The 19,916-nt window shown below is 35.4% G+C and overlaps 1 pseudogene across 1 annotated transcript in view; it reads right to left on the bottom strand.

The window, feature by feature from the left end:
- FOLH1B (folate hydrolase 1B (pseudogene)) overlaps nucleotides 1-11,011 on the bottom strand; it is a 39,451-nt pseudogene extending 28,440 nt beyond the window's left edge. Inside the window, exons 1-3 of the transcript NR_175944.1 lie at nucleotides 10,555-11,011; nucleotides 8,036-8,129; nucleotides 776-874 (exon numbers count right to left, since the gene is read on the bottom strand). The product of NR_175944.1 is annotated as a folate hydrolase 1B (pseudogene) (transcript). The remainder of the gene's footprint in view (nucleotides 1-775; nucleotides 875-8,035; nucleotides 8,130-10,554) is intronic.
- Between the last annotated feature and the right edge of the window lie 8,905 nt (nucleotides 11,012-19,916).

Here is a 19,916-nt window from a genome sequence, read left to right as displayed (position 1 = left end):
CTGGTAAAACAAACTGAAAATTGATTAACAGGGGAAAAGGCGTACAAACTTACTAACACACCAGTGTATACAGGAGCCAAACAAAATGTGAGACTCAAAGGCCAAATGGCTGAAGTTTAACTAGCACCCTCTTCATAGAGGAGGGAGAAGTGGGGGAGTGCAGGTGGTTTTGAGGGGTGGTAAATGGTTTTCAAGAGAGTTAAATGGGCCCAAAGAGCAGGCAATAGTTTATAAATAATTCTCTTTGGAACTTGAATGGAACTAGAGAACAGTCAACAGCTTGTGACAAAGCCTGTGCAGATAAAGTGATATGCCTCAGTCTTCCTTCCCACTATATGAGTTCAATCTTCCCTGGTTAATAAAATTTCAGGGAGGGGAAGGAAAGTCATTGTCTTCCTTCTGCAGGAGCTTCAGATAAGGGAACTTCAGAGACAAACTTACACTCTGCTCTTGTGGGGTGAAGTAAGAGGTCAGAATTATTGATTCTGAAGCTGCATCTAAGGACTTTTATCCTTTAGTTCAAAGTGCTCAGCATGCCAAAACACCATACTTTGGGTTATTCATTTTCTGAGTTCCAACAACACTCATAATATTTAAATCTTCAATCTTGTTTAAAGATTTCTAATTGTTCACAGGCAAAAATTACACTGGTTCTAACTTGCAGTTTTGTTTCCTGCTGGTATTACATAAATTTTACTTTTTCTGTCATCCTCTATAGTATTTTTTTCTTTAAGTCTCCCCCTTAAAAGAGTTAAAATTAAAATAGTCTCTTAACTGTGTAGAAAAGTTTCCAGTAAAGCCAGGTCCAACATTGTAGGACACTTTGAGACTTCCTCTCCAGCTGCTATCTGGTGGTGCTGAGCCACCCATTTTTCTGTTGGACACAAAACAACATTATTAGCCACAAAAAAACCTTGAAGTAACACATTAAAATGTTAATGGATTCACTTTATTGAGCATCTGCTCATAATATCTTTAATGAGTGCAAAGTGCTTTGAATATAATGCGTCATTTAAACCTTACCACAATTCTGAGGAATTGCTACCTCCACTTCACAGATGGGGCACAGGAGGCTTAGATAACATGCCCAAAGTCATGCAACTAGTAAATGGTATAATTAAGATTCAAATTATTGATAAGAATTTGACCTGCCTTACCAGTATCTAGTAGTAAATCTAAAAGTGCTTTCCAGACCATGTGCTGAAGAAAGAGCTTGATGTCTAACTCTCTGAAATTTTCCATTCTTATTTGTCTCACTGGTATATAGTTATTTTTTACAAAGTACTTTCATACACACCTACTAAGAAGACAGGAGGATCAAAAGAAAGGATTTCATTTCAGAAGCCCCTAAAAGCTTCATGCTATTTTTTAAAATTCAGAAATAAAGATTCAGGCAGACCACCCAGTATATGCCATGGTCCCTGGTTATCTTTCAGCAGGTGATTGAGAAAGAAAACATGGTAATGTTTATGAAATGGTGGGGTTCTTGTAGTTTCACTTCAACATATCTGCCTTTACTGCATTAAGATGATGGATTAACTTATTCTTGATATGGGCATGTAAAACAATATACTTTTACTAAACAGCTACAGAGAGACAAATGTGTTTCCAGACAAACTTAAGAGACTGAGTGTTCAAACTGAATAATCTCGACCTTAATTGTAACTATATTTTTATGAAAATCCAGCTGTAAGGCAAAAACAGACTTCTTTGGGTCTACCACAGGCATTTTGTTCCTGTTAAATGAATATTCCAAATCTTAAACCCAGCTCCACTTAAATAATGGCCTGGAAAAATAAATGTCATTATCTGATATTATACTGAGATGTTTAGTTATGAAATCAAAAGTGGAGAATTTCAATCTGTCCTGTAAGGCTTTCTCTGTGGTCGCGCACCCTCATGCACTCCAGGCTGTGCGGTGGAGCATGCTCTGTCGTGTCCTGTTTTCTTCTGTGCCTGTACACGGGTGCTTGTTCCCTGTCTACCTGTTTGAGGAAATATGAATAGCTCAACATAACCTAGAATCTACTGCACATGCAATAAGGAAACAGTCAGTAAGATCACTTTCTCATGGAAAATTCATTAGAATTAACATCTCGTTTTAAAATGCTCTATCAAAGTGTAAATAATTCCTCTCTTTTTTCCCTTTTTCACTAAGGAGTTTGCATATTAAACAGAATTTCAAGTAATGTATTATAAAATTTATTTAAACTATTTACAATAAAATGCCACGTATAAAGCATCAAGCAACATGAAGAGGCATTTTACATTGGTAGAAAGCATAATACATAGTCAAAACAGCAGAGTATTAAATAAACAGAAAATTTGCAAAAGGCAAGTAAAGAATATACATATACTTAATTATACATAAAATATTGATACAGGAGGTAGAAAGAAATTTAGTAAGCAGATAATGGGGGCAACAGAGTCCTCAGCAGAGCTTCCCTTCTAACAAAAAGCAGCCCAAGAAATTTTTTTTTTTTTCTAACAAAAAACAGCCTGAAAAATCGAGCTGCAAACATAGATTAGCAAGCTGAAAGTGCGGGGGAATGCTGGCAGCTGTGCCAATAGAAAAGGGCTACCTGGAGCCGGGCGCGGTGGCTCACGCCTGTAATCCCAGCACTTTGGGAGGGCGAGGCAAGCGGATCACCTGAGGTCGGGAGTTCGAGATCAGCCCGACCAACATGGAGAAACCCCGTCTCTACTAAAAAAAAAAAAAAACGCAAAAAATGAGCCGGGCATGGTGGCACATGCCTGTAATCCCAGCTATTTGGGAGGCTGAGGCAGGAGAATCACTTGAACCTGGGAGGTAGAGATTGCGGTGAGGCGAGATCACGTCATTGCACTCCAGCCTGGGCAAAAAGAGCAAAACTCAGTCTGAAAAAAAAAGCAAAAGAAAAAAAAAGGCTACCCGGGGGCCAGGCATGTACACATGGAGGGTCCATCTTCCCTGTTTTTGTTATCACATGCACAGTAACAGAGAAATGAGCAATATGGCGCAGCTCAGGCAGAGAACTCACCTGAATAATAAAAGATTAGGGTGGGGCCACTAGAAATTCACACCCTATGCAAAAGGCACACCTGGCCTAACCAGTTTGTCCATGACTTATATAAATCAGACACTACCTCTTCACCAGCTCATCTATAAAACCCTCTGCATTTTGCAGTGGACCAGCAACACACTTTTTCCAGGACCTCTCTCTGCAGCAGAGAACTATGCTAATACACTATAAACTAATAACGTCAGTTGCTTTGGGGTGTAAATGGATGAGAGGAAAACTTTACTATAAATCCCTTTAAACTTTGAACTTTGTAAATGTATTTCCTTTTCAGAATAAAAATTAATAGTCCATATTTCCATAAAACAATACAATATAAAGCCACGATTGTAGTGTCCCCACAAGGACAGGTGAACAAATGACTAGAAGAGAACATAATAATAGTTATATATAAGAATCTAATATACCAATGAAAAAAATAATGCACATACATGGAGAAGTTTCAGTTGAAAAATGTTACTGAGGTATAAATCTCTTTAGGTCATTTTCTCACTTTATAAATAAAAAATAAATTCCACAAATATTTAAAAGTTGAATATTAAAATTTAAAACCACAAAAATATTAGGAAGTACAAATAAATGTTGGAAAATGTCTCTGAACGTATTTGGTAGATGGTAGATGTACAGTAATTAATGTATAGACAGTATTGAGTTTATAATTCTGTATCTTGTAGCATATTAATTTTGATTTGACCATTTGGAGAAGATTTGTTGTCTACTATGTTTAAGGCACTGTGTTTTATTCACTAAAAAATATAAATATTTACAAGACTCAGTCTTTCCACCAAAGAGTTTATAAATCACTCAGAAGAAAATACATATAAAACCAATCATAATATAAAACAGAATATGACAGAGCAAAGGTAAAGTTCTAAAAAATTTGGACAAAAGAAAGCTTGAATCAGCTTGTGAGATCAGGAATTACTTTCTAAAGAAGGTTTCACTTGATCTGGATTTTAAAGATGAATAAGGGCCGGGCATGGAAAAATGAGGGCAAAGAGCCTTCCAGGCACAGAGGCAGGCAAGCATAGAGCAAGTGTAAGGCATGATGATTATTCTGGCTGGGATATAAAATGAATAAGATTCCTTGAGAAAGAAATTGAAAAATAGTGTAACTCAAGTGCACATGGAGCATTTTTCATAATAAATCATGTCTGTAAAACAAGTCTGGATAAATTTAAAAGGTTGAAATTATACAATCATTTTATTACTCATATACTTCTTTTACTAATCCAACCACAATAAAAGGAATTTAGCAATCAATAACAAAAGTAAATTTAGGAAATTCACAAATATATGGAAATTAAACAACTAACTCCTAAATAACCAACGGGTCAAAGAAGAACTTGCAAATACAATTTAAAAATGCTTTGAGATGAATGAAAATGAAGATGCAACATACCAATATTTATGAGATGCAGCAAAAGCAGTGCTTAAAGGAAAATACATAGCTGCAAACACCTATATAGAAAGAATCTCAAATCATTAAGCTAAGCTTTCACCTTAAGAAACTGGACAAAGAAAACTAAACTAAACTCATAAAGCATAAGAAAAGAAATTAAAAAGATTGAAAGAGAAATAATAAAATAAATAGAGAAAATCAGTGAAACCAAGGGTGATTCTTTAGAAAGATCAACAAAATCAGCAAACCATTAGTTAAACTGACCAAGTTTAAAAAGTAATTACTAAAATCAAGAATACAAGATAGGACGTTACTACTGACTTTACCTAATTCCTACTTCTACCACAGTGCCTGAAATATAAAAGTCATTCTATAAATGTTTCTTGAGTGAGTGGGCTGTGAGAAGCCATTAAAGGTCTCCCAAGCAGAGGCATAAGAATGAGACAACACCATAATCAATAGAGGTGGCTACTAAATGCTTGCGTCGTTGAGTAGAGAGTAAGTAGTGTTTACCAAAGTGTCTTTTGCATCAGACATGAATTTGGGCCCTGGCTCTCTCACTTACTCTCTGAACATTGGTTAAAATGAGTATCACAATACTAACTCATATTGTTGTTTTATAGGTTAATTGAGGAGATGTACGTAAAGCATTTAGCACAACAGTAATTGCTAAAGCGTAATTAGCACTCCATGCAGGATACATGCTATTACTGTTACTGTTGGCACTATAGTTATTGTCCTAGAAGTTACTGTAGAAGGCAAATTAAAACCACATAATCACACTGTGTTCAGTATACATGTAAAGAAAAATAGGAAACAATATATATGGTGTCCCCTTTCTCTCACACTCAAGTCAACATTGAAGTTTTTACCATCACTCACATTTCATCAACTTTTTATTTAAGTTCTCAGCATTCTTGGGCCATTATATGACTTTATATCTCTCCTCATTTACTCACACATTTATTAATAAACTTTTATTTCATGATATATTCCATTTGTAAAACACTGTCTTTTCTAATTAGTGCACAATGCTAAACTGCTAACCACTTGAGAGAACCTGAGAATTGAGTATCTTGGCACACTCCCAAGGTACCTGTGCCAAGAGAGTAAATTTTCACAGTGAAATTCATAAACAAACCATATGTTCTTTTAAACAATTTTTTGAAACTAAATGCCACTTATATGGACTGTTTCATTATGGCTTAGAAAGTATGGGTGGATAAATAGAAAGTGTCTATTTTTAATTATGAAATTTTGAATGTAGAATGCACTTTTCCATGAAAGTTATGTTATTAACGGTGATTGTATTTGTAAAATGGCTTACAGAGGCTGACACAGTAATGTCAGATGAATTGTGTTTGTTATTTTTCAGTCAATCAGATAATTCCATTACACAATCAGAGCACAGCTGATATTGACCTAGTAAACCAGACCAAATCTTAGACGTCTAAATAAATCTCACATCTAATTCCATGACATTACGCATCCCTCTTTTCTAATTACAAAGATAATACAGGTTCATGTTTTACATTTTTTTTTTTTTTTTTTTTGAGACGGAGTCTCACTCTGTCGCCCAGGCTGGAGTGCAGTGGCGCGATCTCGGCTCACTGCAACCTCTGCCTCCCTGGTTGAAGTAATTATCCTGCCTCAGCCTCCCACATAGCTGGGACTACAGGCATGTACCACCATGCCCCGCTAATTTTTGTATTTTTAGTACAGACGGGGTTTCACTCACCATGTTGGCCAGGATGGTCTCCATCTCTTGACCTCATGATCTGCTCACCTCGGCCTCCCAAAGTGCTGAGATTAGAAGCGTGAGCCACTGCGCCCAGCCCCATGTTTTAATTTTTTATATAACTGAGATAATACTATATATATATAGTTTTGAAATTTGCTTTTCTTCACTTAATAGTATATCATAAGCATTTTTCTACATTATTAATTATTCTGGTACAACATATAATATCTTTTAATCACTTCATTTACTATCATAGTCATTAATGTATTATTTGAGTACATATAAATTGTTCAACAATTTATTGTCTACAGTTTTCCACTATTACAAGTAATGCCAAAATCACTTTTATCTTTTAAATATCATGAATACTTAGTCTTTATTTATACATATTTTTAGGCAAATGCATAGTCTATGGTGCTATTAAAAGTTGTGCCCGGTCCTGAATCTTAGCCAATGCAGTAAATCTTATAGCCCCAAGGAAGAAAGACCAGGGTACTTTCTTAATCTGCCCTTAAACAGATGTGTCCTACTCCCCAGATGTCAGCCTCCTCACCTCTAAAAATGAGTGCCTTGCCCTTGGTCAAAAAGTGCTTCCTCATAGATACTGGAATAAAATGATTAAGAAAGGCTTGAACTTAAAGAAGAAAAGGGACTACCTGGCCAGACGCTTTGGTCTCTATCAATTTCACTTTTAGAAAAGCCAGTGTTCTCTCACCTCTAAAGAATAATGGTGGCTGGGCGCGGTGACACATGCCTGTAATCCCAGCACTTTGGGAGGCCAAGGCGGGCGGATCACCTGAGGTCAGGAGTTCGAGACCAGCCTGATCAGCATGGTGAAACCCCATCTCTACTAAAAATACAAAAATCAGCTGGGCATAGTGGTGGGCACCTGTAATCCCAGCTACTCAGGAGGCTGAGGCAGGAGAATCACTTGAACCCGGGAGGCGGGGTTTGCAGTGAGCCGAGATTACACCATTGCACTCCAGCCTGGGCAACAGAGTGAGACTCTGTCTCAAAAAAAAAAAAAAAAAAAAAGGACATGGCGATGGGAGAAAGCAGCACAGGGAAGAGGAAACAGTTCCAATGCCAGGTTAAGCAGAACAAATCTGGGAAAGTTTCAATAATGAAAGCAGAAAGTTTCAATAATGAAAGCAGAAGGGGAAGAAGAATAGAGATAAAAACAAAATGGAAGTTGCTCTCACAGTGTGTTATTCTGGGTCCTCCCAGACGTAGACAGTAAGAGGAATACATGAGTAAGAGATTTACTAGGGAAAAGCACGTGTGGAAAATGAGCAGAGAGCTAGGAAACCCTGAGAAAGTCCTTAGACTGCAAGGTGGGTCTAATATTGAATAAAGGAAAAAGGGAGAAGGAAAAGAAAGAGGAGTGTTGGGTGTAGCATCTATTTAAGCCAGGCTATCAGGGAGTCCCTGGGCCAAAGTTTTGCATCAGAGGAGTCCAGTGCCTTCCAGAAACAGGCTTGTAGTAGTATCCTTGCCACACTGAGTCATTGCCCGAGAACACCTACAGAAAGCATAGTCTTGACACAAATATAGTGGGGTTTCAAAGCACAGTGTCTGGAGCAATTGATCAATTAGGCTCCCTGCAGTTAAATATCTGAAAGGCTCATTTTCATGGCTGTCATACACTAGACACTCATGTATATACTAAATTCCAGAACAGAACCACTCTTCTATTTTATAGTGATAAAATTACAAGCAGCACCCATGTTGGAAAATTTAAGTACTAAAAAATGGAGATAAAAGCCTAACATTTGAAAACTGTCATTAATGAAAATTACCCAAATAGCCATCCATTGTTTCTTACAAACTTACTCTAGGAGCTTCTGTGCATCATAGTATCCAACTGGATGAACAGGAATACTTGGAAGACCAACAGCCTCTGCAATTCCATGCCTATAAGCGTATTCTGAAAAAAAAAAATTGCCATATTTCCAGTAAAAGCTCAGTTTCATTCAAACGGTTCTCTATAAATCACATTAAATAAATTCTAATTTCACATTTGCTAGAATTGTTAAAGTAAAACAGATTAACAATTCAAATGTTAGCGAGAATGTGGAGCAACTGAAATCCTCATACATTGCTTGTGAGAATCTAGTCTAAAATTATACAATCACTTAAGGTAACTCTTTGAAAAGCAATGTCAGGCAGAAATGTGCACTATGGCACAGCAATTCCACTCCTGGGTACTCTAGAAAGATGAGCACATGCCCACAAGAAGACGTGTACAAAATTGTTCATAACAGCCACATTTATATTAGCCAAATATTAGACAAAGTCCAGGTTTCTAACAACAGAAGAATGAATAAACAATCCATAGTATAATCCCACAATGGAATGCTACTCAATCATTGAAAGAAAAAAACTAATACATACAATATGATGGAAAATCTCAAATTAGTACATTGAAATAAGCAAGGCTTTAAAAAAAATCTACTGTTTGATTCCACTTACTTGAAGTTCAGACTCAGGCAAGTGAATACACGATGCTAGATATTAGAAAGTGATTGCTTCTAGGGGACACAGAGAAAATTGACCAGAAAGGGGTATAAAAGAACTTTCCAGAGTGATGGAAATGCCCTTACATTCTATTTTAAGTGACATAAACACATGCGATTTGCAAAATTTATTGAACTGAAATCTTGAGATCTATGTATTTTATTGCATGTAAGCTCTACCTCAAAATAAGCACACACATCCTATCATTTCTTCAGATTTAAGAAAAATCAGAGCTGTTTTTCCATTTTTTTTCTCTTTTTAAAACTATCTAATAAGAAACTTAGGTAACTTCAAATCCTTGTTTTTATGGGTAAAATGACATAATGACATGTTGTGTGGGATTTGTTTTCAAATTCTCTAGAATAATAGCAAAAAAAATTGGAGTGATAAACAAATAAAAAAAGATTGACAACATGTTGACAACTGTCTCTACTTTCGTATATGTTAGAATTATGCCATAATAAAAAGTAAAATTAGAAGGAAAATAAAAATGTATAGGGCACAAAAAATGATTCAATAAACATTAGCCCCATAGAAATAACATAATTTTCCCCCTAAAATACCATCATTCAAATTTGAAGAAAATCAACAGAAGCATTTCAGTTAATCTCATTTTATTTTCATTATTTTGACTTTGCATAACTAATAAAGCTTAGGCTAAGCCGCATTTTTTAAAACTTGGAAATAAAAAGGTGGAGCAAATAAAGTTCAGGTAGATTTATATAATTTTACTATAGGGTAATATGTATCATTTTTTAAAAAAGAAAAAAATTTCTGACAATGTATTATGTTCTAAGAAGATTTACAAAGCCAAAAAAAATTACATAATCTTTACAGGAGTCTACAATTTAAGAGTAAAACCAGATGAAGACATAAATGTCATAGATAACTTGGCAAATTATTTTATACAAGTTTTAAAAATTTAGTTAGCTTTAAACCACACAAACTTAATGATCACAGATTTTTGTAAACATCATCAAATAGTTGAGCACATTCAAAATAAATTAGCTCCCTTTGTTAATGTTTTACAGGGGAGCCTTTCAGCATAAGACTAGTATGTGGACTCTGTGAGCCAGACTGCCTGAATTTGAATCCAACTGCTCATTCAGAGGAGGGGTGATCTTGGGCTGACCTCTAGTCTCACTTTCCTCCCTGTCAAATAAGAGATAATAACACCCCCTAGCTTTAGGGTTGTTAATGCAAGTAAATTGCTGGCATTTAGGAAACACTCTTTGAAAGTTATCTCCATTATCTTACAGAAATGAAGCAATATGCATTTCCTGGGCTCTATATCCTAAATGGGCCATTTAAAAAGTTTATGGAACTTCTGCTCTCCTGTCCCTTACCCACACTGTGAAATCTGTAAATCTGGGGGGAATTTATTCAACAGCAAAACCTGATCTGACCTGAACTAATTTGAAAGCAAAATTTGACTTGAGTAGACATAAGTCTGTTTATATTCCTTATTCCCCGCCCCCCACTTACTATTTAGCGTAAGTATTCATACACTCTGCAGCAAAAATATTTATATGCTTTTTCCCCATATTCTGTCCCAGCCCCCTATGTCACTGTTATGCAAGTTATGGTATATGTGTAACACCATAATGTTTTTTAAATAGCTGAAAAGTCTAAATTTGAAAGCCCACCAGGCCCAAGTTTCAAAATAAGGGGGTAAGAGGCCTGAACCAATCACTTTAGAGTTCAAAATTCTTTCATTCTTAAATGCAAAGAGAATAAAAAAAGACATGCTTAGTCCATTGTGCCAAAGGAAATTCTTTAATAAAGTCTCTTTTAAATGTTAAGTTTCCTGTGATATTCAAGGATTGATCACTCACCATTTGCTGGGTAACCTGGTGTGAGAGGGTCTCCTGCACCATTCAGATTTAGGATATTTCCACGCTGGACACCACCTCCAGGAAGATTCCAACCGTCTGGATAGGACTTCACCCCAGGAGCAAAGTAGTCAGCAGGGTCTGAGTAGAGAATGACTCCTTTGGCCCCTGCCAGCTGGGCATTTTTAACCTAGAAAACACAGTGTCTTTCTTTCCTTATTTTAAATTGGTTGTTCCAGATTTGGTAATATCAATTTTCAATATTACACTTAAATGAGTACTAGAACTTTATCTTCAACCTTTTGTCATTAGGCCTACAAAAAAGGACATCTCAGAGAGAATTTCCCTTTTCTTTTTGCTACTATAAGCTCTAAAAATCCTCAGAACATCAGATTTGGAAATGTTCTTATTTGTGGTAGTGAGTATTTGCTATTTCCTTCCACTAGCTTAGAAATATAATAAGCAAGTAGACCCCACAGGCCAAATTCCTATTTGTTCTACAGTCTAAAGGGCATTTTTCAAAATTTAATTTCCCACTAAAGAGAAAAATATATTTATTAACAAATCAAATGACAGTAATTTTTAAATTGGCTATGTGTAAATTGTTTTCACTCATTATTTATAACAATTCATACTACAATTTAATTTAGTAAACATTTTTGTAGAAAATATTTAAAACAAAGATACTGAAAGTTAATAATAAACCCAGTGCATGCTTCTTTGTAGGCCACAGCCATAACCTGTAAGCACAGAAAAATTTGTTCTGTTCACTCTAAACATCTACACTGTCCAAATTCCAATGCTCAAATTTAACCCTGGGATATAACCTAGTAAATGTGTCCTCTCTGTAAGGTGGGCATGTCACAGAATACAAGAAAATAATGGTATTCATAAAGTTTTAAGAAAATGATTCTACACATGTAAAACCCACTATAACTTTTTATATTGGGGGAGAGAAAAAAAAGAGATAATTTTTACCTTACCTTATTTCCTCTGAAAACTTTCCTATATCTGGCAATTACAATTTTCCCAGAGCAATTGATTTTCATGTCCCGTTCCAATTTAAAGAAGTCTTCAGTTCGTGCATAGTTAACATGCACTAGATCACCCTGTTGAGATCAGGAATGACTTAATATGAATCAGATATAAAACAAGGAGGTTTTTCTGCATGGGGACTGTTGGGCATTTTTGAAAGAGGGAAGAGGTCAGAGCACACAGGAGGGTCAGAAATGCATGAGCTCCAAAGAAGAGATTCAAGGGAAAAATGAATTGAAATTGAGAATGGAATTAGTTGGGCTAGAAGCACATGAATAAAGTAATATTTGTTTGTATTTGTCCCATATTTAGTGGCTATGAAGCTGAAGCTACAGAAGCATCCCCCCACAGAAAAGCATATACATATACACATTGCTGCACGCAACTTGAAGGGGTCCAGATACCCTAGGCTAAGAAGCCCTTAATGAGACCTTTTCTCTCTTCAGTGTGTGTTCACAGGGAGTAGCTTAATGGTTCTTAACAACTACCAAGTAAAGAAAAAAGCACAGGTAACATCACTGCTTTACAGGTCTGATTTCAATCATTAATGTGATTATGTGCAAATCTTATAACATATTTGAGTCTCAATATTCTCATTGGCTCAATGATCTGCTAGATTAAATCAGTGATCTTCCAACCTTTTTTGCTCACCTATTCCCTAAATTAATTTTGACAATGTACCCCTTCATCTAAAATTTAAAATTTTTTATCATACCTTTAAGTAGCTGCAAAGCATGCAATATCTAGCTTACTATAAATATTAACATTTTTAGAAGAAATTGTATACAACTTTTATATTGATCCAAAGCAATTTAAATACTGTATTTATTTACTATTCAACATCATCAATTTTAAAAATTACATGAACATGCTCTTCTTTACAGTCAAAATTTTGTCATCTCTTTTTTTTTCTTGAACTTGTATATTGTCCATCTTCCCCCACAGAATTTTACTCTAAAGTAAAATGTATTTGTGCTGGGCACCAGATGAGCTGTCCAGATTCATGGTCAACGAAGGACTTTTTGCTCCAGCTGCAGGGGAGGCTCTCTGCAGACAATCTTCATCTGTCAGCCCCTTCAAGGATTGCCTCAGCTGTAGACAGCCCCCTTTCTCAAGGTCATGTCCCTTCCTAGAATGCTACACATTCAGTGACTGATTGATGTGAGGGTACAGAGACCTGGACATCTCAGTCTAACGTAGGAAAATTCTGAGAAACTATTCCAGACCTCCTTATAGGCTTAACCAAGGTTATCCTTCAGCTGGCATTGCAGGGTGACTTCTCCCTCTGCCCAATCCAGCTCTGCTTTTCACAGATGTTGATCCCAAGAGAGCACTCCATAATTATCAACTAGCATTCTAAATTTCAATTCAGAATCTATTACCTTAAATATGGGTATGCTTGAAAGTCTTTTATTAATCACTGTCAAATTTCCTTGAATCAGTATATCTATAGAAGTCAATTTTTTAAAAAAAATTATTTTTGTGACAGATTGTGTTAAGAAACAGCTTCAAGAGTAAGTTATAATTATAGGCCAGGCATGGTGGCTCATGCCTGTAATCCCAGCACTTTGGGAGGCTGGAGTGCGCGGATCACTTGAGGTTGGGAGTTCAAGACCAGCCTGGCCAACATAGTGAAAACCCATCTCTACTAAAAACACAAAAATCAGCTGGGCGTGGTGGCACCTGCCTGTAATCCCAGCTACTCGGGGGCTGAGGCACGAGAATTGCTTGAACACGGGAGGTGGAGGTTGCAGTGAGCCAAGATCATACCACTGCACTCCAGCCTGGGCGACAGAGTAAGACTTGGTCTCAAAAAAAAAAAAAAAGATAGATTAAGTTATAATTATAATTACTAGCAGTATCAAATTAAGTCTAACAACATCATTGCAATTCTTATAAATAATGTATAACCATAAAATTTGATTAGAAATATATCTTTTAATGCAATGAGTGGGACAGTGAAGTGTTATCTTAACACATTTGTTCAGTGGGTGAACAAATTATTGCTAGAATGAGACAGGGATCAGCAACAACAGTTCAATTTACATTTCTTGTTTTTACAGTAAGTTCTGAGAAAACTTGGATAGGAACGAAAGATTTGTTATGGAATTGTCACTAACTTATTTAAACTTCTTTCAAGTTATAATCTGAAAATCACAAATTAGTCTATCATACAAGTGTCTTTTAATGATATTAGCTGGAAACTCAATTGGGTTTACCCTTAATTTTGCTCAATTGTAAACTATTTGAATTGCTAAGAATTTGTTACCCAGCTATGAGAACCATTCACTATCTTAACGTTGAAAACAATATTTCTAATTGTCTCTTTTTTTGAAGCCCCAGAGATTTTTACAACACAGATATATGCTTCATATTGACTTAGAATGGGTAGGAGATGTTTTTCATTTATAAAATGAGATGAAAATGCTTGTAAATAGGGAGCAGGACCTCACGACAGGCTAGCTTTCAATACCATGAAAAAGTGCACAGGGTGATTGATGATCTGGAAACTGATCTCTTTAAAACCACGTCATGCTTGCCTTTGGAAAGTCTTTACACACCCTAGTTTGAAACCCCTGTCCCAGATGATTTCCAATATCCTATTATTTTATTTTGGTTATTGTTTTCCTTTTTGACTACATTTTTCATAGCATGTACATGACAAATATATATAAGATATTAAAATAGAATTGTTTCCAAGTTGATTCTAGGATTCATTTGACAAATTGGTGAAGATCCATTATGTGTTAAGCAGTGCCCTATGTTAATACAACAAATCTCTGCCCTTGAAGCAACTTACACTGCAGGTCCTCCTTCAGTCACAATGGGATTAAGTCTTATTAAACTCACCTAAGTTGAAAATAATTATACATCTAAAGTGTGTTTTTGACTTAGGATATTTTCAATTTATAATGGGTTTATCCAGACATAACCTCATGGTAAGTTGAGAAGTGTATTGAATGAGTATGGCTATTGCACCATCATAAAGTCAAAAAAATTTAAGTAGCCATCTTAGATTGGGGGTTTCCTGTAATGTCGATGGGGTAATACAATAATGAGCATTAAATTTAATAACTAAGCAAAGCATACATTATATTAAAAGGTGATAAGTAGTACAGAAAAAATTAAAAAGCATTTAAATAGAGTATACAAATGGTGAACTAGAGCTTAAGTGGGTGTAATATTAAAGAAAATGAGGAAAGTCTAATTGGGAAACTGACATTTGAATCTTTGCCTCTGTAAAAGGATTACATTTAGCTCTTGTATTTCTTCCTAAGACCAATGTAATATTAATGCACTATTAATCATAACACTATATGTCTGATTTATCATTGTTAGCCCTCTCTGGAGCACACTTATTCTATTTTAACTGTGGCTACAAAGTCATTAACCAATGTGATTTCAGCAAAATAATTTTTTTAGTTAAGTATCCTACTTTCTTTACCCTTAATATAAGTAACTTTGAGGAGATTGTACCTTTAAATGTCTCTAAATGTGGCTGTCTTTTGATATATCAGCAATCCTCACAAAACAAACTGTGAGGGAGAGAAAACTGAAAAACATATTAGCTTAAAAATGAGAGTAAACTTTGAAAATGAAAACAAGTGTGACAGATATTCCCTCTCAGCACTTCTAAAATACAAGTTGTCACTGTTAGTTAGAAAAGAGCTTTATTTTTAGACAAAGATCTTCTTATACAACTTACACTGTACCATCCATTGTTCTATGACTGTGAATAAATAGAATCTTGCACTCTTAGCCCGGAATTTTCTTTGTTTCCTTAAGCTTCCATCTCCCTAACTCTTATTTATAGAGATAGAATTGGGAGGCAAAACCAGTAATTCTCAAAGATGGTCCTTGAACCCTCAGAAACAATATCACGCTTGTTACAAATACAAACTCTCAGGCTCCACCCCATTAAACTTAGGAAGTGGAAACTAGAATCTGTGTTTTACAAGCCATCCAGATTATTGTGACAGACACAAAAGCTTGAGAACCACTAGATAGACTATATTTTATGAACATCGCAAATTGCTAATTTTAAATAGCATAAAGCAGAGTCCCATATTTCATATTCCACAGGATTCAGACGTAAATTCAAAGATTACTGATCGTGAATTTTTGTTTTGTTTTGTTTTTTGAGACGGAGTCTAGCTCTGTCGCCCAGGCTGAAGTGCATAAATTTAATTTAAAATAGCTAAAAAATATAAAATATACTTTAAAAATCTTAAATGAATGTGATCTATTGAAGAAGTTGAAGTGTGAAGTGTGAAATTGAAGAACACTGAAATGTATTGAGCAGTGAAAAGATTATGTATACAAAAACAGGTTGGCCGGGTGCGGAGGCAGGCAGATCACCTGAGGTCAGGAGGCACGATCTCGGCTCACTGCAAGCTCCAACTCCCCAGTTCATGCCATTCTCCTGCCTCAGCCTCCCGAGTAGCTGGGACTACAGGCGCCCGCCACCACTCCCGGCTAATTTTTTTGTATTTTTAGCGGAGACGGGGTTTCACCCTGTTAACCAGGATGGTCTCGATCTCCTGACCTCTTGATCCGCCCTCCTCGGCCTCCCAGAGTGCTGGGAATACAGGCGTGAGCCACCGCGCCTGGCCCGTGAAATGTTTTAAACACACATACGGACATACATAGTTTTGAAAGAATTAACACTCCCCTGGCTGGGTTACAGATGATCCAGTGAGGAACACCGATCAGCAAACTCACCTGATATTTAAACATAAACAGCAAACCCATACAACATGTGTGCTCTTTGTATTTAGCCATTGATCTGGAAGAGTTTAAGTCTATTTGAAGGAAATAAGAGACAACGCTCTTTAAAACTCTTTCTTACGATTAATAGTAATGTCAAAGTCCAAAAATTATTTGGAAGATTATAATTGGGCATGTAGTAAACCTACAAACTAATCTAGGTGTAATTTTCTCCTTATAATATGATGTCTTCTCATCCAGAAACATAAACGGTTTAACTGTTTTTTGTTTTGTTTTGTTTTAGTTTTCTGAGATGGAGTCTCGCTCTGTCACCTAGGCTGGAGGGCAGTGGCTCAATCTCAGCTCACTGCAAGCTCCACCTCCCGGGTTCACGCCATTCTCCTGCCTCAGCCTCCTGAATAGCTGGGACTACAGGTGTGTGTCACCGCATCTGGCTAATTATTTTGTATTTTTAATAGGGATGGGGTTTCCCCATGTTGGCCAGTCTGATCTCGAACTCCTGACCTCAGGTGATCTGCCTGCCTCCACAACCGGCCAACCTGTTTTTTTATACATAGTCTTTTCACTGCTCAACACATTTTAGTGTTCTTCAATTTCACACTTCACACTTCAACTTCTTCAGTAGATCACATTCATTTAAGATTTTTAAAGTATATTTTATACTGTTTAGCTATTTTAAATTAAATTTATTCATTATACTTTCTGCTATCATATACTATTTGGTCATTTATGTTTAGCTTCAATCTGATAATATTAATACTATTTTTAAAGAAAACTGTATTGTTAATTTTTGGTATACATAAGTCATGCAGTTATATCACTGTAAATAATAAAGAAGGAGAATATTAATAAAGAAGGCCCAAAGTGCAAAAACATAAGGAAAATAATTTGACAATATCAAAATTAAGAATCTCTTTTCAACAAAGGAAAACACAGAGTGAACAAAAAAGATGAAAAATTAGAATAGGCAAAACTAATTTATGGTGGCAAAAATGTCAAAGAAACATATCCTCTGGGGTATGTAGAGTTGATTAAGAAGAAGCATAAGGGAACTTTCAGAAGTGAAGGTAATATTCTGTACATTGATGGCATTTCGATCACCCGGATGTAGGCATTTGTCAAAAATCAATAAATGTGCATTCGGGATTTGTGCATCTCATTGCAGTAAATTGTATCTTTAAAAATACCATTAATAAAATATAATCAATATTCCTTCTTCTTACTAAGACATTCTCATTACTTAAATGTGGAAAAAATGAATTGGATTACATCAAAAGTCCCTTTATGACCCTTTAATTATTGGCTGAACATATGAAGAGAAGGAAGGCTTCTTTTTGTCATTTTTATTTGTTGCACTGTGTTTTTACCTCTGGCATTCCTTGAGGAGAGAAAGCACTGAAAGATGGTACAATATCCGAAACATTTTCATATCCTGGAGGAGGTGGTTCAAATAATGATGTGTTGAAAATCTAGAGAAACAAAATATTATAATCAAAATAAATCAGTTAAAGTTTGATTATTATAATCAAACACAAAAAAATGAATATTATATTTTATGTCAGTAGAGGGTGAATGAATCCTTCAGGATTTTGATGATAGTATCAGATACCCAGCACTATGCTAGAAGTTGTGAAGAATTCATGAGATGAATAAATCACAGATTCTGTCCTCAAAATGGTAAGATCTATTCAAGGAAACAAAGCTAAAAAACCCCACCAATAACTAAAAATCAACCAAACAAAAAACAACAACCATAAAATAAGTACTATAGAAAGAAAAGCTCAGAGGAGGTAAAAAGATACTCTTCCAAAAGGAATACTGTGTACTGTAAACTGTGTACTGATAGAAGGAAGAATTAGAAATTGATTTTTTTGTAAGTGGCATACATACTAAGCTAGTGTAAATAAAAGCCTAAATATGTAGTTGCTTCACAGAAGGTTAGAAGTAAATTAACCTCATGAATTTCTTGAGAGAACTTGTAAGGACTAGCTTTTGATTTTGGAGAAAGATTTTAATTACCAAATAAAAAGTACCTTTGTTTGGTAATCTCAATCATTATAATAGTGCTTAGATAATTACCTAGGAACAAATTAAATATTAAATTTACTTAAAAAAAAAGTATATGATTGGGGAATCCACAACTGACCATATCTAGATTCTCTGAACAACATATGCACTGAAAAGAATGAAAAACACTGAACCAAATATATGTCTTTTTAAGTTTATAATTAAATTGGAAAAAAATAGTAAGGAATGTTCAGAAGCAAAAAAATAAAATGAAAGCAAGAATCCTCAGAGGTAGCACGAAAGTTGGCTTTGCCTTAGATGGATCTATCAAAGCCTATGGCCCCATGAAAAGGATTCAGGAGTTGGTTTAAAGCTGGTTCACATAATGGAATCTAGCAGAAGACTGTGCATAAAGCTGGTCTAAGAACAACAATATCCTGGCCAGGCGCCGTGGCTCAAGCCTGTAATCCCAGCACTTTGGGAGCCCAAGGTGGGTGGATCACGCGGTCAGGAGTTTGAGACCAGCCTGACCAACATGGTGAAACCCCGTCTCTACTAAAAATACAAAAATTAGCTGGGCCCACGTGCTTATAATCCGTTACTCAGGAGGCTGAGACAGGAGAATCACTTGAACCCGGCAGGCAAGCTTGCAGTGAGTGGAGATCGTGCCACTGCATTCCAGCCTGGGTGACAAAAAAAAAAAGAACAACAATATCTTTCAGGGTTAAGGATAAATTCAAAATAAACTTGCTCCATGGAAAGTAATGGTTTAGCGTAAAGCAGGAAAAAAGGGTTCCAGATAATTCATAACCCTACAAATTTCCATTCACTGTTTATATAGTATGCCTCAAGCTAAAATATTTATTTTAAAGCAGTGCCAGGTTTGTAGTGCTCCCTGGCGCCTAAGAGAAATGATCAGGAGGAATCAGCCTTCAAATTAGCCTTAAAGAATTCCCAAATTCTTATTACTATCATATTAATAAACATATTTATCAAGTTTATGAAACAAGACTGAATTAAAATTATGCATATAAATTGGTAATATATAACAAAAGTGAAAGTGTTCTAAGGTTTCTGTATTGTAGAAATATTGATTGAATTATGACACCAAAGCTATAGGGGAAAAAAGGAAGAGTAAAATTCACACTAGAGGAAGGTAAAAGTGACCTAAATATTGTATATTAGAATTATAAAAAATGAAAATGGAAAAAAGAATAATTAAAAAGCGTAGCATGTCTAAATAAAATCAGCTGTGTACCAATTGACAAGCAGTGACATAAACCTACTGAAAAAGAAATACCAAACAAATATTAATTTAAAAAAAATTTTAGGACAAAGTCAAATAACATTATGACGAGATAAAAAAGGCTACTACATAAGTATAAGTCTGTCATTTCATCAACTATTCTAATTTTGTTTGTATATGTTAATAGGTCTCCAAATTATACATAACACAAATTTATGGAATTATAAATTTTATACATATAGTATGAAGCAGACATTACTATAGTGAGGTGAGATAATTTAACATTTATCTCTAATTAATAAAGGAAGCAGACAAAATGAGAGAGCACATTAAGGATAATGGAGATTTC

Source organism: Homo sapiens, chromosome 11 (assembly GCF_000001405.40).
Source record: "Homo sapiens chromosome 11, GRCh38.p14 Primary Assembly".
NCBI lineage: Eukaryota > Metazoa > Chordata > Mammalia > Primates > Hominidae > Homo > Homo sapiens.
Note: the sequence above shows the minus strand (reverse complement) of the source record. Positions and strands in the feature narration are given on the sequence as shown.